The 19,655-nt window shown below is 36.0% G+C and overlaps 1 protein-coding gene and 1 pseudogene across 3 annotated transcripts in view; both read right to left on the bottom strand.

The window, feature by feature from the left end:
* LRRC69 (leucine rich repeat containing 69) overlaps window positions 1–19,655 on the bottom strand; it is a 116,639-nt gene that overhangs the window by 58,483 nt on the left and 38,501 nt on the right. The gene's annotated exons all lie outside the window — the stretch shown is intronic.
* CPP (ceruloplasmin pseudogene) lies at window positions 853–3,497 on the bottom strand (annotated as a pseudogene).

The following is a 19,655-nucleotide window of genomic DNA, read 5'->3' as shown; positions in this document are numbered from 1 at the left end:
ATAAAGAACTGCCTGAGACTGGGTAGTTTATGAAGAAAAGAGGTTTAATTGACTCATGGTTCCACAGGCTGTACATGAGGCATGGCTGGAGAGGCCTCAGTAAACTTACAATCATGGAAGAAGATAAAGGGGAAGCAAGGCACATCTTCACATGGTCAGCAGGAGAGAGAAGGGGGAAGTGCTGTGCATTTTTAAACAACCAGATCTCATAAGAACTCACTATCACAAGAACAGTAGGGGGTAAATCTGCACCCATAATCCAATCACCTCCCACCAGGTCCCTCCCCCAACATTGGAGATTACAATTCAACATGAGATTTGGGTGGGGACACAGAGCCAAACCATGTCAGTACTGGAGTTCCTAAGAGAGTAATTAGGCAAGACAAAGAAATAGTAAGGAATGAAATTAAGAAACAAGAAGTCAAATTGTCCCTATTTGCAGATGACATTATCTTATATATTTAAAAAAAAAAACAAAAAACTAAAGATTCCGCCAAAAAACCTGTTTGAACTAATTAACAAATTCAATAAAGTTGCAGGATACAAAATCAACCAAACAAAAATCAGTAGTGATTCTATAAACCAGTAATAAATAATTCATCAAGAAAAAATTATCCCATTTACAGTAGCTACAAAAGATTTTTAAAGCTAAAAATAAATTTATCCAAAAAGGTGAAAGATTTCCACAATGATACCTACAAAATACTGCTAAAAGAAATTAAAGAGGGCAAACACAAAAATGGAAAGACATCTCATGTTCATGGATTGGAAGAATTCATATTTTTGTTGTTGTTGTTGTTGTTTTGTTTTTTTTAAGGTGGGGATTGACTTTTATTCCAAGGAACAACATCAGTTCACTGTTGTTGGAGACATGACAATCATTTTCATCCCAAGAACACTCTAAGGAAACATTTTACAAGTATGCTTGAAAGAATGTCACTAACTGGTCCAGAATTTTATCTTCTTGATTTTTCCAGATTTCTCTATGTTTTTGAGAAAGATGTTAATATTTTGCCATGGTAAAAAATTTCAAACCTCATTTTCTTTGTTCCTTTTCTTTTTACTTTAAGAAAACTCATGCTCTATTTCTCTGAATCAAATGAAGTAGTTTACAAAGCTAACTTTCTTCTTGTCTAGCTATTAACATGATTTGTCAAATGCATGTTTTTTTCAGCCAAAGCCTTGTTCCCATTTTTTTGTTGATGTGTACTCTTGCTCTTTCAGCTAGAGTGTATGTGAAAATAAAGAAATATGTCATTGTATTCACAACCATGTGTCTTCATTTATAACTTTTTGTTTAAAAAATTTTTAGTTCAAGTTTAGTTCATTGATATTATCCTCTGAATGCAGTTAAGGCTTGGCAGAAATTCTACTTATGTGACATCTGCCACAGGTCTATTTTGAAGCTTTTCTTCTAATGGCAATGTTTATCCTTACCAGGATTTAATCTATAGAATTGTATCTCAACTCTGCTTTTCTCCAGTTCCAGATAACGTCCTTTAGACCATCCCTTCAGGGGTTCACAAAACTCAGATTTGTGTCATTCTATTTTATTTATTTTATGTTTTATTTCCTTCCCTCATACCTTGCCCATTCCCTCTGAATATTAGGTGTGATGTCAACAGCATGTTAGAAGGATCAATGGGAAGGCAATGATTGAAAACATTTCAATGAACCTTAATAGTGTTCCTTTGAGGAGCACACAGGAGAATATCTGGTCATAGATCTTTTTTTAAATGCAGTTTTATAAAACCCTAATAGTGGTGATATGATTAGACTGTAGGAATCAATTTTATTACCTAGTGTACAAGTGTCAGTCATGTATCATTATATAGTCTGTTGATGTTTCCATTTGCAAAAAATTAATAGTTTTCCCCCACAAATGCACAAAGTTGTATGTTTCCAGTCTTCTTTCAATGTTTATAGTCATTCCAAAGTAACATTCTATTTTACACTTTCACATACATTGTTATGAATCATTGGTTTTTCTCTTTTTTCCACTTATCACCAATGTATTTCATTCAGCCAGACTTGGTGTCTTCATTTTGTAGAACAATGTAAGTGGTTTCCATTCCAGCATGAATGTGGTCAGTCACATGGCAGTGGAGTAACCAAATTCCAGGTGTTCTTGGAAACATTTCTAGGGTTTGGTATGTTCCAGGGAAAATGTCAAAGACATCAGAACTATAAACACCCCTGTGCTTGTATTAGAAGCTATGGCCGTGAAAATGTACAGTGTGTAAGTCTATTTCATCGCCCATTGGCTTCATCTCCCATGTGCATTGTGAGGCCTTGTGGGTTTCCAAACATTCTTCCATTAACAGCATGCATTTTATTGCTTTCTATGAATTCCTCATCATCTTTGTTTACTTTCTTGGGGTGATCAGAGTTTGTTTTGATGTTGTCATCTAAATACCAAGATTCATTCTCATCAAAAACTAGAAACAGAAGGGTAAATTCCAGTTTCTTTCTGGGATTGAATACTTTCAAGTAATGTCTTCGACAAACAATCAGGGGGCCAATTAATCCACTGTAGAGATCCTTAACTTGATCCACAGTTGAATAGTAAGCCCATGGAATACAAGCAGAATCCTCTGTTCCAGCTCCAGATCTTTCTGGGATTTTCCATAGGTAAGTGAGAGTTTCACCTGGTAATGCTGGAATAAATGTAGAACTCTCCGTTTGTACCCCATGGGCATGTATTGAGTAGGGCCTTGTGGTCATGTTTTTAAAGATAATTTTGACTTTGTCTCCAACATCTGCATGAAGTTGTAGACCTAGAATTCCCAGATGTTCTTCTTCAGCTTTTCTCTCCACTGGAATACGGAACGTGCAATCAGTATACTGCCGATACACAACTTTCTTGTACTTTGAGCCTATGTAAAACTCTCCCTTATCTAAAAATGCATTTGAAACATTCTGCTCTTGTAAATGATGCAGCTCCTTTTCCCACTCCCTTTGTGGGGAATAATCCCATTCCACTTCCACTGCTGCGATATAGTATGTCCTCTCTCCCAGGTAGAAGGTGGAATCCTCAGACTGCCACCTGCATTGGTTCACAGTATATTTTTGCTTCATGCCGCCTGTGTAATGATCAGCTAGCTGTAAGGCATTCAACATTAAAAGTCCAGTGCATTTTATTAGATTCCTGAAAGTCTTCATCTGCCTTATCCACCTGATCAGGTGCAGTTGTAAACATTCTGATATTATCTTCCAGGAGTAAACCCTCATTCTCATTAAATACTATAGGAAACAAATAGAACTCCTTGTCTACATCTTTCTGTCTCCAATTTGCATGTAAACTTCCTTTCTTGCATATTTTCATTGGCCCAATAAGCCCAGTGAATATATCTTTAGTGGGATCCACAGCAGAATAATACATCTTAGCTAGACATACAGGATCTGCATTAGTGGGTCCTACTTCTTTGGGGACAGTCCATTCATAGGTGAATGTTTCTGTGGGTGCCACATGGGAAGCTGAAGGAGGCACACCTGTGAGAAAGGTCACATTAGAGAGGTGAAGTGTGCTTTCTAATGTCAGAATTCATAATGTTAAAGTGATTATATTACACAAAGCAATCTACAGATTCGAAGCAATCCCTATCAAAATACCAATGACACTCTTCACAGAAACAGAGAAAGCAATTCTAAAATTTATATGGAACCACAGAAGACCCCCAAGAACCAAAGCAATTCTGAGCAAAAAGAACAAACCTAGAGTCATCAAACTACCTGACTTCAAAATATACCACAAAGCTATAGTAACCAAAACAGCATAGAACTGGTTTAAAAAAGACACTTAGACCAATGGAACAGAATAGAGAACCCAGAAATAAATCCATATATTTACAGTCAACTGATTTTTGACAAAGGTGCCAGGAACATACACTGAAAGGAGAGCCTCTTCAAAAAACGGTGCTGGGAAAATTGAATATCCATACACAGAAGATTGAAACTAGACTCATATCTCCCACCATAAACAAAAATCAACTCAAGATGAATTAAAGACTTAAATGTAAGACCTGAAACTATAGAATTGCTACAAGAAAACATAAGGGAAACACTTCAGGAATTAGTGTGGGCAAAGATTTTGTGGGTAAGACTCAAAATCAAAATAGAAAGAATATTTTTTTTAAAAAGAGAATTAAAAAATACTCCAAACCACGGACAACAAAAGCAAAAATAGACATGATTATATCAAACTTAAAAGTTTCTGCATATTAAAGGAAACAATCAACTGAGTGAAGAGATAACTTGTAGAAAGGCAGAAAACATTTCCAAGCCATTCATCCTACAAGTGATTAATATACAGAATAAAAAAGAACCCAACTCAAGAGCAAAAGGAAACCCCAAATAATTTGATTTAAAAATTGGTGAAGGATCTGAATAGACATTTCTCAAATGAAGACACACAAATGGCCAACAAGTATCTGAAAAACAGGTCCAACATCACTAATCATCCAGGAAAATGCAAATCTAAACCACAGTAAGACATATCTCATCCCAGTTGGAATGGCTCTTGTCCAAAAGTTTGAATTTGTTGTAACAAATAGAAACAAATAAAAATAAATAAATGCTGGTGAGAACACAAAGAAAACTCATACACTGTAAATGGGAACATAAATTAGTACATCCATTATGAAAAACAGTATGAAGTTTCCTCAAAAATCTATGAATAGAACTACCATATGATCTAGCACTACCACTACTATTTCCAAAGGAAATCAGTATATCAAAGAAACATCTGCACCCCCATGTTTACAGTAGTACAATATGTAGTCAACCTAAGTATCCAGCAAAAGATTAAGGAATAAGGAAAATGTTTCATATATATATATGGTGTGTGTATATATATATGTTGTATATATATATGTTGTATATATATATGTTGTGTATATATATATATACACACACATACATATTCACAAAAAGAATATTATTTAGTCATAAAAAGAATGAAATCCTGTCATTCGAGGCAATATGGATGAACCTGGAGGACATTATATTAAGTAAAATAAGTCAGGCACAGAAAGATAAATACCGCATGTTATCACTCATGTGTGAGATAAAAATGTTGAGTTCATAGAAGTAGAGAGTAGAATAGTGGTTATTAGAGGCTGGGAAGAGTAGGGAAGAGGTGAGGAAAACGTTAGTTAACAAATACAAAATTACAGCTAGAGAGGAGAAATAAGTTCTAGTGTTCTAGTATTCTATAGCACTGTAGGGTGACTATAGTTAGTAATTTATTGTATGTTTTCAAATAGATGAATTTCAAATAGATAGGTTGTTGAATGTTTCCAGCACAAAGAAATGATGAATATTTGAGGTAATGGATATGCTAATTACTCTGATTCAATCATTACTCATTGTATATATGTATAAAAATCTCACTCTGCACCCCCACAAATATGTACAATTATTATGTGTTGCTTAAAAATTTTTTAAAAAGATGGAGGTATGTAATAGAAAGTTTTAAATTGTCTAAGAGGAGAGAATAAGTATCAAATAAATACTTTTCATAAAGCACACAATAATTTTTTTTAATTTTTAGGGTAGTCAGTTAAAATAATAGACAAATGGTTCTCCTTGAAGAGGTCCTTCACATCCTTTGTTAGCTGTATTCCTACATATTTTAATCTCTTTGTAGCAATTGTGAATGGAAGTTCATTCATGATTTGGCTCTCTGCTTGTCTCCTGTTGGTGTATAGGAATGCTTGTAACTTTTTGCACATTGATTTTCTATCCTGAGACTTTGCTGAAGTTGCTTATCAGCTTAAGGATCTCTTGGGTTGAGACGACGGGGTTTTCTGGATATAGGATCGTGTCATCTGCAAACAGAGACAATTTGATTTCCTTTTTCATATTTGAAAACCCTTTATTTCTTTCTCTTACCTGATTGACCTGGCCAGAATTTCCAATACTACATTGAATACGAGTGGTGAGAGAATGCATGATTGTCTTGTGCCAGTTTCCAAAGGAAATGCTTCCAGCTTTTCCCCATTCCATGTGATATTGGCTGTGGGTTTGTCATAAATAGTTCTTATTATTTTGAGATATGTTCCATTAATACCTAGTTTATTGAGAGTTTTTAACATGAAGGGATGTTGAATTTTATCGAAGACTGTCTGCATCTATTGAGATAATCATGGGGTTTTTGTCCTTGGTTCTATTTATATGATGAATTATATTTATTGATTTGCATATGTTGAACCAGCCTTGCATCCCATGAATGAAGACCACTTGACCATGGTGGATAAACTTTGTGATGTGCTGTTGAATTCAGTTTGCCAGTATTTTATTGGGGATTTTTGCATCAATACTCATCAGAGATATTGGCCTGAAGTTTTTTTTGTTGTGTGTCTGCCAGGCTTTGGTATCAGAATGATGCTGGCCTCACAAAATGAGTTAGGGAGGAGTGTCTCCTTTTGAATTATTTGGAATAGTTTCAGAAGGAATGGGGAATGGTACCAACTCCTCTTTGTACTTCTGGTAGCATTCAGCTGTGAATCCATCTGATCCTGGGCTTTTTTTTTTCTTTGGTTGGTAGGTTATTTATTCCTGCCTCAATTTCAGAACTTGTTATTGGTCTATTCAAGAATTTGACTTCTTCCTGGTTTAGTCTTGGGAGGGTGTATGTGTCCAGGAATTGATCCATTTCTTCTAGATTTTCTAGTTTATTTGCAAAGAGGTATTTATAGTATTCTCTGATGGTTGTTTCTATTTCTTTGGGGTCAGTGGTGATATGCCCTTTGTAGTTTTCATTGAGCCTATTTGATTCTTCTCCCTTTTCTTCTTTATTAGTGTAGCTAGCAGTCTATCTATTTTATTAATTTTTTCAAAAAACCAGCTCCTGGATTCATTGATTTTTTTTGAAGGATTTTTCATGTCTCTATCTCCTTCAGTTCTGCTCTGATCTTAGTTATTTCCTGTCTTCTCCTAGCTTTTGGATTTGTTTGCTCTTGCTTCTCTAGTTCTTTTAGTTGTGATGTTAGGGTGTCAATTTGAGATCTTTCTAGCTTTCTTATGTGGGCATTTAGTACTATAATTTCCCTCTTATCACTGCTTTAGCTGCATCCCAGAGATTCTGGTACATTGTCTCTTTGTTCTCACTGTTTCCAAAGAACATTTTGATTTCTGCCTTAATTTCATTATTTACTCAGGAGTCATTCAGGAGCAGGTTGTTCAATTTCCATGTAGTTGTGTGGTTTTGAGTAAGTTTCTTAATCTTGAGTTCTAATTTGATTGCACAGCGGTCTGAGAGACTGTTTGTTATTATTTCAGTTGTTTTGCAATTTGCTGAGGAGTGCTTTACTTCCAATTATTTCATCAATTTTAGAGTAAGTACCACGTGGCACTGAGAAGACTGTATATTCTGTTGTTTGGGGGTGGAAAGTTTTGTAGATATCTATCAGGTCCACTTGATCCAGAGTTGAGTTCAAGTCCTGAATATCCTTGTTAATTTTCTGTCTCAATGATCTAATATTGACAGTGGGGCGTTAAAGTCTCCTACTATTATTGTGTGGGAGTCTAAGTCTCCTTGTAGTTCTCTAAGAACTTGCGTTACAAATCTGGGTCCTCCTGTATTGGGTGCATATATATTTAGGATAGTTAGCTCTTCTTGTTGATCCCTTTACCATTATATACTGCCCTTTTCTTTTTTGATTTTTGTTGGTTTAAAGTCTGTTTGTTAGAAACTACAATTGCAACCTCTGCTTTTATCTGCTTGCCATTTGCTTGGTAAATTTTCTTCCATCCCTTTATTTTGAGCCTATGTGTATCTTGGCACATGAGATGGGTCTCTTGAATACAGCACACTGATGGGTCTTGACACTTTATCCAATTTGTCAGTCTGTGTCTTTTAATTGGGGTATTTAGCCCATTTACTTTTAAGGTAAATATTGTTATGTGTGAATTTGATAATGTCATCATGATGCTAGCTGGTTATTGTGTACACTCACAAACCACTGCTCAAGGAAATAAGAGAGAAAACAAACAAATGGAAAAACACTACATTCTTGTGGATAGGAAGAATCAATATTGTGAAAATGGCCATAATGTCCAAAGTAATTTATAGATTCAATGCTATACCCATCAAATTACCATTGACATTCTTCACAGAATTAGAGAAAACTACTTTAAAATTTGTATGGAAACAAAAAAGAACTCTAACAGCCAAGACAATCCTAAGCAAAAAGAACAAAACTGTAGGCATCATGCTACCTGACTTCAAACTATACTACAAGGCTACAGTAACCAAAACAGCATGGTACTGGTAACAAAACAGACACTTAGACCAAGGGAACAGAATAGACATCTCAGAAATAAGACCTCAAATCTACAACCATCTGATCTTCAACAAACCTGACAAAACAAGCAATGGGGAAAGTATTCCCTATTTAATAAATGGTGCTAGGAAAACTGGCTAGCCATATGTGGAAAACTGAAACTGCACCCCTTCCTTACACCTTATGCAAAAATTAACTCAAGATTGAAGACTTAAATATAAAACCAAAAACCATAAAAACCCTAGAAGAAAACGCAGGCAATACTACTCAGAAAATAGGCATGCGCAAAGATATTATGATGAAATCACCAAAAGCAATGGCAACAAAAGCAAAAATAGACAAATGGGATCTAATTAAAGAGTGTATGCACAGCAAAAGAAACTATCACCAGAGCGAACAGGCAACCTACAGAATAGGAGAAAATTTTTGCAAACTACCCATCTGACAAAGGTCTAATATTCAGAATTTACAAGGAACTTAAACAAATTTGCAAGAAAAATAAACATCAAAAAGTGGGCAAAGGACACGAACACACTTCTCAAAAGAAGACATTTATGCGGCCAAGAAACATATGAAAAAAAAAGCTCAACATCACTGATCATTAGAGAAATGCAAATTAAAACCACAATGAGATACCATCCCACAAAAGTCAGAATGGCAATTATTAAAAAGTCAAGAAACAACAGATCCTGGCAAGGCTGCAGAGAAATAAGAACACTTTTACACTGTTGGTGGGAATGTAAATTAGTTCAACCACTGTGGAAGACAGTGTGGTGATTCCTCAATGATCTAGAACCAGAAATACCATTTGACCCAGCAATCCCATTACTGGGTATAATACCCAAAGGGATATAAATCATTCTATTATAAAGATACATGTACACATATGCTTACTGCAGCACTATTCACAATAGCAAAGACTTGGAACAAACCCAAATGCCCATCAATGACAGACTGGATTAAAAAAATGTGGTACATACATAGTTGGAAGTAAAGCACTCCTCAGCAAATGTAAAAGAACAGAAATTATAACAAACTGTCCCTCAGACCACAGTGCAATCAAACTAGAACTCAGGATTAAGAAACTCACTCAAAACCACTCAACTACATGGAAACGGAACAACCTGCTCCTGAATGACTACTGGGTACATAATGAAACGAAGGCAGAAATAAAGATGTTCTTTGAAACCACCGAGAACAAAGACACAACATACCAGAATCTCTGGGACACATGCAAAGCACTGTGTAGAGGGAAATTTATAGCACTAAATGCCCACAAGACAAAGCAGGAAAGATCCAAAATTGACACCCTCACATCACAATTAAAAGAACTAGAGAAGCAAGAGCAAACACATTCAAAAGCTAGCAGAAGGCAAGAAATAACTAAGATCAGAGCAGAACTGAAGGAAATAGAGACACAAAAAACCCTTCAAAAAATCAATGAATCCAGGAGCTGGTTTTTTGAAAAGATCAACAAAATTGATAGACCACTAGCAAGACTAATAAAGAAAAAAAGAGAGAAGAATGAAACAGACACAATAAAAAATGATAAAGAGGATATCACCAACGATCCCACAGAAATACAAACTACCATCAGAGAATACTATAAACACCTCTATGCAAACAAACTAGAAAGTCTAGAAGAAATGGATAAATTCCTCGACACATACACTCTCCCAAGACTAAACCAGGAAGAAGTTGAATCTCTGAATAGACCAATAACAGGCTCTGAAATTGAGGCAATAATTAATAGCTTACCAACCAAAAAAAATCCAGGACCAGATGGATTCACAGCCGAATTCTACCAGAGGTACAAAGAGGAGCTGGTACCATTCCTTCTGAAACTATTCCAATCAGTAGAAAAAGAGAGAATCCTCCCTAACTCATTTTATGAGGCCAGCATTATCCTGATACCAAAGCCTGGCAGAGACACAACAAAAAAAGAGAATTTTAGACCAATATCCCTGATGAACATTGACGCAAAAATCCTCAATAAAATACTGGCAAACTGAATCCAGCAGCACATCAAAAAGCTTATCCACCATGATCAAATGGGCTTCATCTCTGGGATGCAAGGCTGGTTCAATATACGCAAATCAATAAACGTAATCCAGCACATAAACAGAACCAATGACAAAAACCACATGATTATCTCAATAGATGCAGAAAAGGCCTTTGACAAAATTCAACAACGCTTCATGCTAAAAACTCTCAATAAATTAGGTATTGATGGGATGTATCTCAAAATAATAAGAGCTATCTATGACAAACCCACAGCCAATATCATACTGAATGGGCAAAAACTGGAAGCATTCCATTTGAAAATTGGCACAAGACAGGGATGCCCTCTCTCACCACTCCTATTCAACATAGTGTTGGAAGTTCTGGCCAGGGCAATCAGGCAGGAGAAGGAAATAAAGGGTATTCAATTAGGAAAAGAGGAAGTCAAATTGTCCCTGTTTGCAGATGACATGATTATATATCTAGAAAACCCCATTGTCTCAGCCCAAAATCTCCTTAAGCTGATAGGCAACTTCAGCAAAGTCTCAGGATACAAAATCAATGTGCAAACATCACAGCATTCTTATACACCAATAATAGACAAACAGAGAGCCAAATCATGAGTGAACTCCCATTGACAACTGCTTCAAAGAGAATAAAATACCTAGGAATCCAACTTACAAGGGACGTGAAGGACCTCTTCAAGGAGAACTACAAACCACTGCTCAATGAAGTAAAAGAGGATACAAACAAATGGAAGAACATTCCATGCTCATGGGTAGGAAGAATCAATATCATGAAAATGGCCATACTGCCCAAGGTAATTTATAGATTCAATGCCATCCCCATCAAGCTAACAATGACTTTCTTCACAGAATTGGAAAAAACTACTTTAAAGTTCATATGGAACCAAAAAAGAGCCCACAGTGCCAAGTCGATCCAAAACCAAAAGAACAAAGCTGGAGGCATCACGCTACCTGACTTCAAACTATACTACAAGGCTACAGTAACCAAAACAGCATGGTACTGGTACCAAAACAGAGATATAGACCAATGGAACAGAACAGAGCCCTCAGAAATAATGCCGCATATGTACAACCACCTGATCTTTGACAAACCTGACAAAAACAAGAAATGGAGAAAGGATTCCCTATTTAATAAATGGTGCTGGGAAAACTGGCTAGCCATATGTAGAAAGCTGAAACTGGATCCCTTCCTTACACCTTATACAAAAATTAATTCAAGAATGGATTAAAGACTTAAATGTTAGACCTAAAACCATAAAAACCCTAGAAGAAAACCTAGGCAATACCATTCAGGACATGGGCATGGGCAAGGACTCCATGTCTAAAACACCAAAAGCAATGGCAACAAAAGCCAAAATTGACAAATGGGATCTAATTAAACTAAAGAGCTTCTGCACAGCAAAACAAAGTACCATCAGAGTGAACAGGCAACCTACAAAATGGGAGAAAATTTTTGCAATCTACTCATTTGACAAAGGGCTAATATCCAGAATCTACAAAGAACTCAAACAAATTTACAAGAAAAAAACAAACAACCCCATCAAAAAGTGGGTGAACGATATGAACAGACATTTCTCAAAAGAAGACATTTATGCCGCCAAAAGACACATGAAAAAATGCTCATCATCACTGACCATCAGAGAAATGCAAATCAAAACCACAATGAGATAACATCTCACACCAGTTAGAATGGCAATCATTAAAAAGTCAGGAAACAACAGGTGCTGGAGAGGATGTGGAGAAATAGGAACGCTTTTACACTGTTGGTGGGACTGTAAACTAGTTCAACCCTTGTGGAAGTCAGTGTGGTGATTCGTCAGGGATCTAGAACTAGAAATACCATTTGACCCAGCCATCCCATTACTGGTTATATACCCAAAGGATTATAAATCATGCTGCTATAAAGACACATGCACATGTATGTTTATTGCGGCACTATTCACGATAGCAAAGACTTGGAACCAAGCCAAATGTCCAACAATGATAGACTGGATTAAGAAAATGTGGCACATATACACCATGGAATACTATGCAGCCATAAAAAATGATGAGTTCATGTCCTTTGTAGGGACATGGATGAAGCTGGAAACCATCATTCTCAGCAGACTATCACAAGGACAAAAAACCAAACACTGCATGTTCTTACTCATAGGTGGGAATTGAACAATGAGAACACATGGACACAGGAAGGGGAACATCACACACTGGGGCCTGATGTGGGGTGGGGGGAGCGGGGAGGTATAGCATTAGGAGATATACCTAATGTTAAATGACAAGTTAATGGGTGCAGCACACCAACATGGCACATGTATACATATGTAACTAACCTGCACGTTGTGTACATGTACCCTAAAACTTAAAGTATAATAAAAAAAATTGGTACACATACACCATGGAATAGTATGCAGCCATAAAAAGGCATGAGATCATGTCCTTTGCAGGGACATGGATGAAGCTGGAAGCCATCATACTCAGCAAATTAACCCAGGAACAGAAAACCAAACACCGCATGTTCTCACTCATATGTGGGAGCTGAACAATGAGAATACATGGACACAGGGAAGGGAACAATACACACCAAGGCCTGTTGGGGGGGCCAGGTGGGGAGAAAATCAGAACAAATAGCTAATGCAGGCAGGTTTTAATACCTAGGTGATGGGTTGATAGGTACAGCAAACCACCATGGCACAGGTTTACCTATGTAACAAACCTGCACATTCTGCACATGTACCCCAGAACCTAAAATAAAATAAATTTTAAAATAGGAATAGTAAAATGATATAAAACTTCGTAAGATTTTTTAAAATGTGTCATTAAGAAGTATCCAATTATTTCAAAAGAAAAAACAGAAAAGGAGTACAGAACAAGTAGAACAAATTAAATATACACAGCAGGCTGGGCAAAGTGGCACATGCCTGCAGTCCCAACTACTCAGGAGGCTGAAGTGGGAAGATAGCTTAAGCTCAGGAGTTCAAGACCAGCCTGGGCAAAATAGTGAGACCTCGTCTCAAACAAAGAGAAAAAAAGAATAGTCAGATGGATTTTTTTAAATGAAGTATTATATGGTACTTATAAAAGATACATCTAAAATATAAGGATATAAAAAGGTTGAAAGTAGGCAGTGAAAATAGATATATCATGTAAACGTGAATCAAAATATATATAATATATAATATGTTTATATATAATATATGTTTATATATAATATATATTATATGTTTATATATAATATAGCTATATTCATATGAGAAAAAAATAAACTTTAAAGCCAAAGCATTATTAGCAATAATTTACAATATATGAGCATGGGGCCCAGGGATCAACATTTTAACAGGCATATTGCTGATTCTTATAGACTCTAAAATCTACTTGATAAAGATATATTTTATTAGGATTAAAGCCTGGAGAACACAAAGAAATAGTCAATCCCTTAAATCAACTTGGTAGGAATGTAAACTAGTTTCTCAATCTCAACATGGACATTTTGGGCCAGGTAATACTTTGTTATGGGGGGACTGTCCTATGCATTACAGAACATTTAGCAGGATTTCTGGCTTCTACTCACTAGATGCCAGCAGTATCACTCCTCAGTTTTCACAACCAAAAATATCTCCAGACATTGTCAAATATCCCTGGGACATGGAGGGAGGGCTAAATCTTCCCTGGTTGAAATCCACTGCCTTAAAACAACTTTATTATTAATTGTGACAAATTAGTTTTGATTTTTCAGAGGAGCAAAGCAATCATGTTTGTTATGTAAAATCCATATCTACCCACCCATCAATCTATCCATCTACCCATCCTTTCTGTAATTATTTATTGGGTGCCTACTCTGTGCCAAGCACTGTTATAAGCTTGGAATACATCAGTGAAAGGGACAAAAACCCCGAACTCCATAGAGATTACTTGGAGATGTAAGGGAGAGAGAAATCATCTAAATGAAAATCAATGCTTAAACAGTCTGTACAAGAGCCACATTTGATTTCAATCAGACTCTCTTTATAATATTTTTAATTTTTTAAAGTTTACTTTCTCAAAAATATTGGCCCTGATTTTGAAATCATTTTAACTCCACTTTTACTGCAAGACTAAAAACACAGAAGTTCCAGCTCTCTGACTTTATGATCCTGTCCTTCTGGCCTCTCAACAAGAGAGATGAGAGGTGAATGTTGCTGAAATTTGAGGATCTCCATTTTGAAGGTAAGCAAGGCATCCCCTTTATCTCCTGAATTACTTTCATTAGGTACTTGGTTAGAAGAATAAAATTTCCAAGGGTAGCTAGCGATAGTGGTTGGTGAAATGCTGTTCACCAACCACTATACCATGTGAAACAGGGTCCTCTGCAGCACTTACATTTTATAGGCATTCAGGACCAGCCTATCTTTAATTCTAATAAAATCACATATAGAAGTAGAAAGTCAGAACTCAAATTATGTAAGTTAACTAAAAAGAGAAAGATAGTTGTATTCCCTAACTTAATTGGGCCCTCAATTTTTAAAACAAGAATTTGAACAAAATCACCATTGCATCAAGGATAATATTTCATAATTTTTTCTCTCTGCTTTTCATTTCAAAAAGTCTACCCCATGAAATTTTAGAATTACAATGGTGAAAGAAGCAATAACATATAATTCAACACCCTCTTCTTCACCCACCCCCATATAAGAAACAGCAGAAAATATGATCTCATTCTCATAAAAGTAGTGACAGGGAAAGCATTTAGTCAAGTTTTGGAACTCACTAATTCTATATTAGCTAAGCTTACATCACTTACATAAAACCACAGAACCCACAAGGGGTTTCCATTAGAATAGCATTGGCTTGTTTCCCATTTTTTAAAAGGTCAGTGAATGTTGTTTTAAATGTATGGCTCCTAATAAACTGAGCCACTGAAAGCAGCACTGACAACCAAAGAAAATTATACTATTTTAAAATCAAGGTCAAATTTTAGAGAGGCATTTAAAGAGCTTCAAGAATAGGGTATACTTTTCCTTAACATTAAACAGAGAAAATAAACTATTCATATGGGAACAAGAATAAAGTGGATCTCTAATGCTGCTAATCAAAAGAGGCAGAACAACAATGGGGATGAGGCAGCCAACTGGAATTTCTCATGGCTATTTGAGCAAAGTGGATAGTTCCAAGGAAATCACTATATTGTGGAGATATTCAGGGATGTTCTTGACCACAGCTTTATGGACCTTTCCCTGTGTATCACTTTTAAACTTTTAGGCTATTTTCTACCATCTTGCAAAAGAGTTTCAAAAGTTTTGATAGGAGTTTTGATACAAGGCAAACCACAATTTCACTTTCCCAAGGAGTTTCTTTCCCACAATTGTATTGCACTTTCTGGACCACTTAAGGACATTTTTGATCATGGACATGTTTAAATTTGAAATAGACATTCTCCAAGTGTTCAATCAATTTCACAGAAATATTTCTGTTAATGCAAAACTAAATGGTCTCCCTAGGAATGCTTGTCTGTATGTGCACATATTTGTGTTACTGCTCATATATGGAAATCATTCTATTGAAGGCAGATGAATTCATTTGGAAATGAGAATCATCCAAAAATAAAATGGTTTTCTTCACTTGATTTTGTATTAAGCACAAAAAATATTTATGTACTAACAAAAGATACCGGTAGTATTTGAATTAGACAAGTAACAGACAGAGAGTGACAGTAAACCAGGGTATGTACCATGCTAGATATCAGGCATGTGTCTGGAACCAAGGACACCATAGCAAGATATGCTTAGACTGGTGTGGATCAAAATCATTCATCATTGGGTATAAAAAGAGAAATCCTTTTAAATTAAAAATATCCAAGAAAAGAAGAGACGTCAGGATAAGTAGTAGGCAACGAGTTAAGTGAAGTGTCTAAGAAAAAGGGAATTCAGTAATGAGAGGTCCTATTTCCAGAGGAATCTGGTCTGGCAAACAAACCAAATGAGCCACAAGGGAGAGGGAAAGGGTAAGACAGAAATAAACAGAAAACCAAAGGCAAGGAGCCAGGGAAAGGAGACCCCCTTCAGGGAGATAGTTTATTGGTTCTGTTTTGTTGCCCAAGGAAGGTAAGCCTAAAGAATGTAAAGGAATCTGCAGAGGAAAATAACCTGGAACAGGGGCAAAGACAACATGGGGAATAGAAAGCAGAGTGCACTGCTGAAACCAGCCACCCTTGTACACCCTTGGGTACAGATCAGTTGGTTACAGTAACAGTTACGAATTAGAACCATTCAGGTGATCTCATGGCTTTGAAAGCCTTCAGAGACACCCCAAAATTTGGGGTGGATTGAGGGGCAGGTATCTCAGACCAAACCTTAAAATGACAAGAAAATAACATTCAATATCTGTCATGTGCCAAACACTAATAAGAATTCATATACATTATCTCATTTAATTATTCATTCATTCTATCATTACTGACCACCAAATGTTATGTGAGACACTTTCCTAACAATGTGATGTATACAAGTGTTATTAATATCCCCAACTTAAAGAGGAAAAAAGTGAGACATAGAGTAATGGAGTTACCTCTCCAAGGTCACACAATGGGTACATTGTTAAGCTAGGCAAATTTAATTTTTGTTTGGGAAAAATGGATTCAAACCTTCTCCTCACTATTCAAATGATTTGTATTTCTGGGAAAGTTGCTTCCATTTTTTTTTCCTCCTGTGTTTCTCATACTGTAAAAGAGGAAACTGCTTTCAGTATTCTCAAATTTTATTTATGATAACTCTAAAGAATTCTTGAAGGAAAAAAGGGGCATTGATGAAACGGAATAGGTGCTATAACTATGATTTCCCATAAATAGTCCAAGCATACTTTTTCTCATGACAACATTGTATGAGGCTTTCCCGCTTTATGTTTTTTTTCTTATAAAAACAGTATGTGCCTACAAACCTTAGGGATATACAAATACTTAAGATTCTTAACTCTGACACAGAATGTGTTTATGGAAGCTACAGATTCACATGAATGTTAAATCATGAATTTGAAACTGAAAGAAAGCAGTGACTGTGGAAAATGTAGCATTGGGTATAATTTACATCTTTTTAAGCACATTTCTTAAGTGTCTACTCTTAGCAAAGCACTTTCTCATAAGTTGTCACATTTATTTGTATCCTTGTAAATGTTTTAGCTACACTTGAGTTTCACTCCCAAACTATAACCACCCAAGGCAAAGGGTGAACTTTAAAAAGACAAAACTCAGAAACGAAAGTAACATGGTAAAGATTTGGCCTTCCCCAAATTTCTCCAAAATAAAATTTAGTGTTAAATTCACATGCTAAAAAATCTCTCCAATTTTAGATTGGCTGATGAATAAATGTTTAAGAAGTTTTGTCCGTGGCATATATGCACCGAGTACATCCACAGTGTGGCTAAAAAGAAGTAAGGCTAACCGAATTAAACAACATATAAAACTCAGCCTCCAACTATATAGGCATTCCTTGTGTTCACATACCAAAATCCTAGTTTCTATGTGAAATATTTTTCAGAGTATACAAGAATTCTATTGTCCAAAGAATGTTCCTTGAGTATCATTTTAGTCAAGGACACAGTGAAATTCTCAGAACCCAAACTCCCAGTGAGCTCAAAGAAATGCCTTATTTGTATAGCATGACAGAGACTGCCCCAACCTGGGACAAAGAATGGATTCCTCAGAGGCAGAAGGAGTCCTGACAGTGTAGCCAAAAGTCTTGAGTGCAAGTTCAACCTCTGCCACTGTTCCATCATTTAGGCCAATGGTTTTCCAAGTGTAGTTCCTGGACTTACAGCATCAGCATTACCAAAGAACATAACAGAAATGCAAACCTGTGGGATCCCCAGCCTACTGACTCAGAAATCCTAGAAGGAGGGCCTAGCCTTCTGGGTTTTAAGAAGGCATCCAGGGGATTCTGATGCACATTCAAGTTTGAGGGTCACTGCTGCGGACAAACTACTCTGGAGCCTCAATATCCTCAGCTCCAAACAGGAATAATGATACCAAATCTGTCTTCTTCAAGGAATTATTCAATAACAAATAGATTTGATAACTTGCAAATTTTTAGATAACAGCAAAGTATTCATCCAGAAAGATAACTTTTTGTGAATTTGAAAAGTAGTCATAATAGTACAGGTTGTTAGATAGATTGCTAACGGAGGATTCTAAGAGCTTATTTAAATGTGAAGTTTTCTATTTGGTCTGCAATATTTTATATATGATATTTTGTTATGAACTTCACATCAAACACAAAACTCATGATGCTCCCTGGTGATGATCATTAAAACTTTTTCTTGCTTTTGTCAGGTCATCTTTTTCTTCAAATGATTGCAGTTTGAAAAATAACGGGGCTCCTGAGGGAAAGAGGAGCTAGAGAAAGAAGACCTGTGACTAAAAGATTAAAATAAAAACTGTTTCAAAGGAAATATAAAATTTCAATAATTTACTTTTTTTTCTGTTGAAAAGACTGAATCACAACTACTTCATAGACTGAGTTTTCTGACCTAAAGAAAGATATTAGTAATCCTTTCTTCCCAGAAATCCCACGATGATAGCCTATCCAAAACCCTTCAGCAGCAAATAATAATGTTTTTTCTTTCCCCATCATCAAAAGTTATGAAGGCAACAGGTCACTTTCCCCTTATTATTTTGAACTCAACAATGAAATTACCACCTAGCTGACTTGCATCTTTGTTCAAGCTAATTCATGCCAGTTTCTTTGATTTTTCTCATTTTAAATTTCTGTACATCATTAAAAATCACATATTTATCTTGTTCTTATGATATCTCCAGGTTCCACTTCAATGTTTAGAGATTTCTTCAAACACAAATTCCAAAGTTTCTATACAGCAACATCCATATTTCTTCATTTACTTCCCCAGATTAGAAGAGAGCTTGGCAACAGAGAAGGTACTCAGTAATTGTTTATGGAATTGGAAAGTCATATAAACCTCATCAAGGAGGTTTATATCAATTGCCCTTGCAGATGCCAAATAGAGTAATAAACTCAATGTTCTATCAAGTATAATGGGTTAAATAGTGTCCTCCAAGATTCATATCCACCCTGAACCTCAGAATGTGACTTTATTTGGAAACAGAGTCTTTGCAGATGTAACTAGTTAAAATGAGGTCATATGGATTAGAGTGGGCCACAATCCAAGGACTGGTATCCTTCTAAGAAGAGAAAACAAAGACATGTCCTTTAAGCCCCAGTTTGTGATATTTTGCTATAGCAGCCTCAGGAAACTAATAAAACAAGCATCACTGTTTCCTGCACTAACTGAACAACCGACAGTGTTGCCATAAATTGTCCAGTGTCCACTAAAGGCCATACTTCAGATATGTTATTCTCTGAAA

The sequence above is a fragment of the Homo sapiens genome, chromosome 8 (genome assembly GCF_000001405.40).
Source record: "Homo sapiens chromosome 8, GRCh38.p14 Primary Assembly".
NCBI classification, from domain to species: domain Eukaryota; kingdom Metazoa; phylum Chordata; class Mammalia; order Primates; family Hominidae; genus Homo; species Homo sapiens.
Note: the sequence above shows the minus strand (reverse complement) of the source record. Positions and strands in the feature narration are given on the sequence as shown.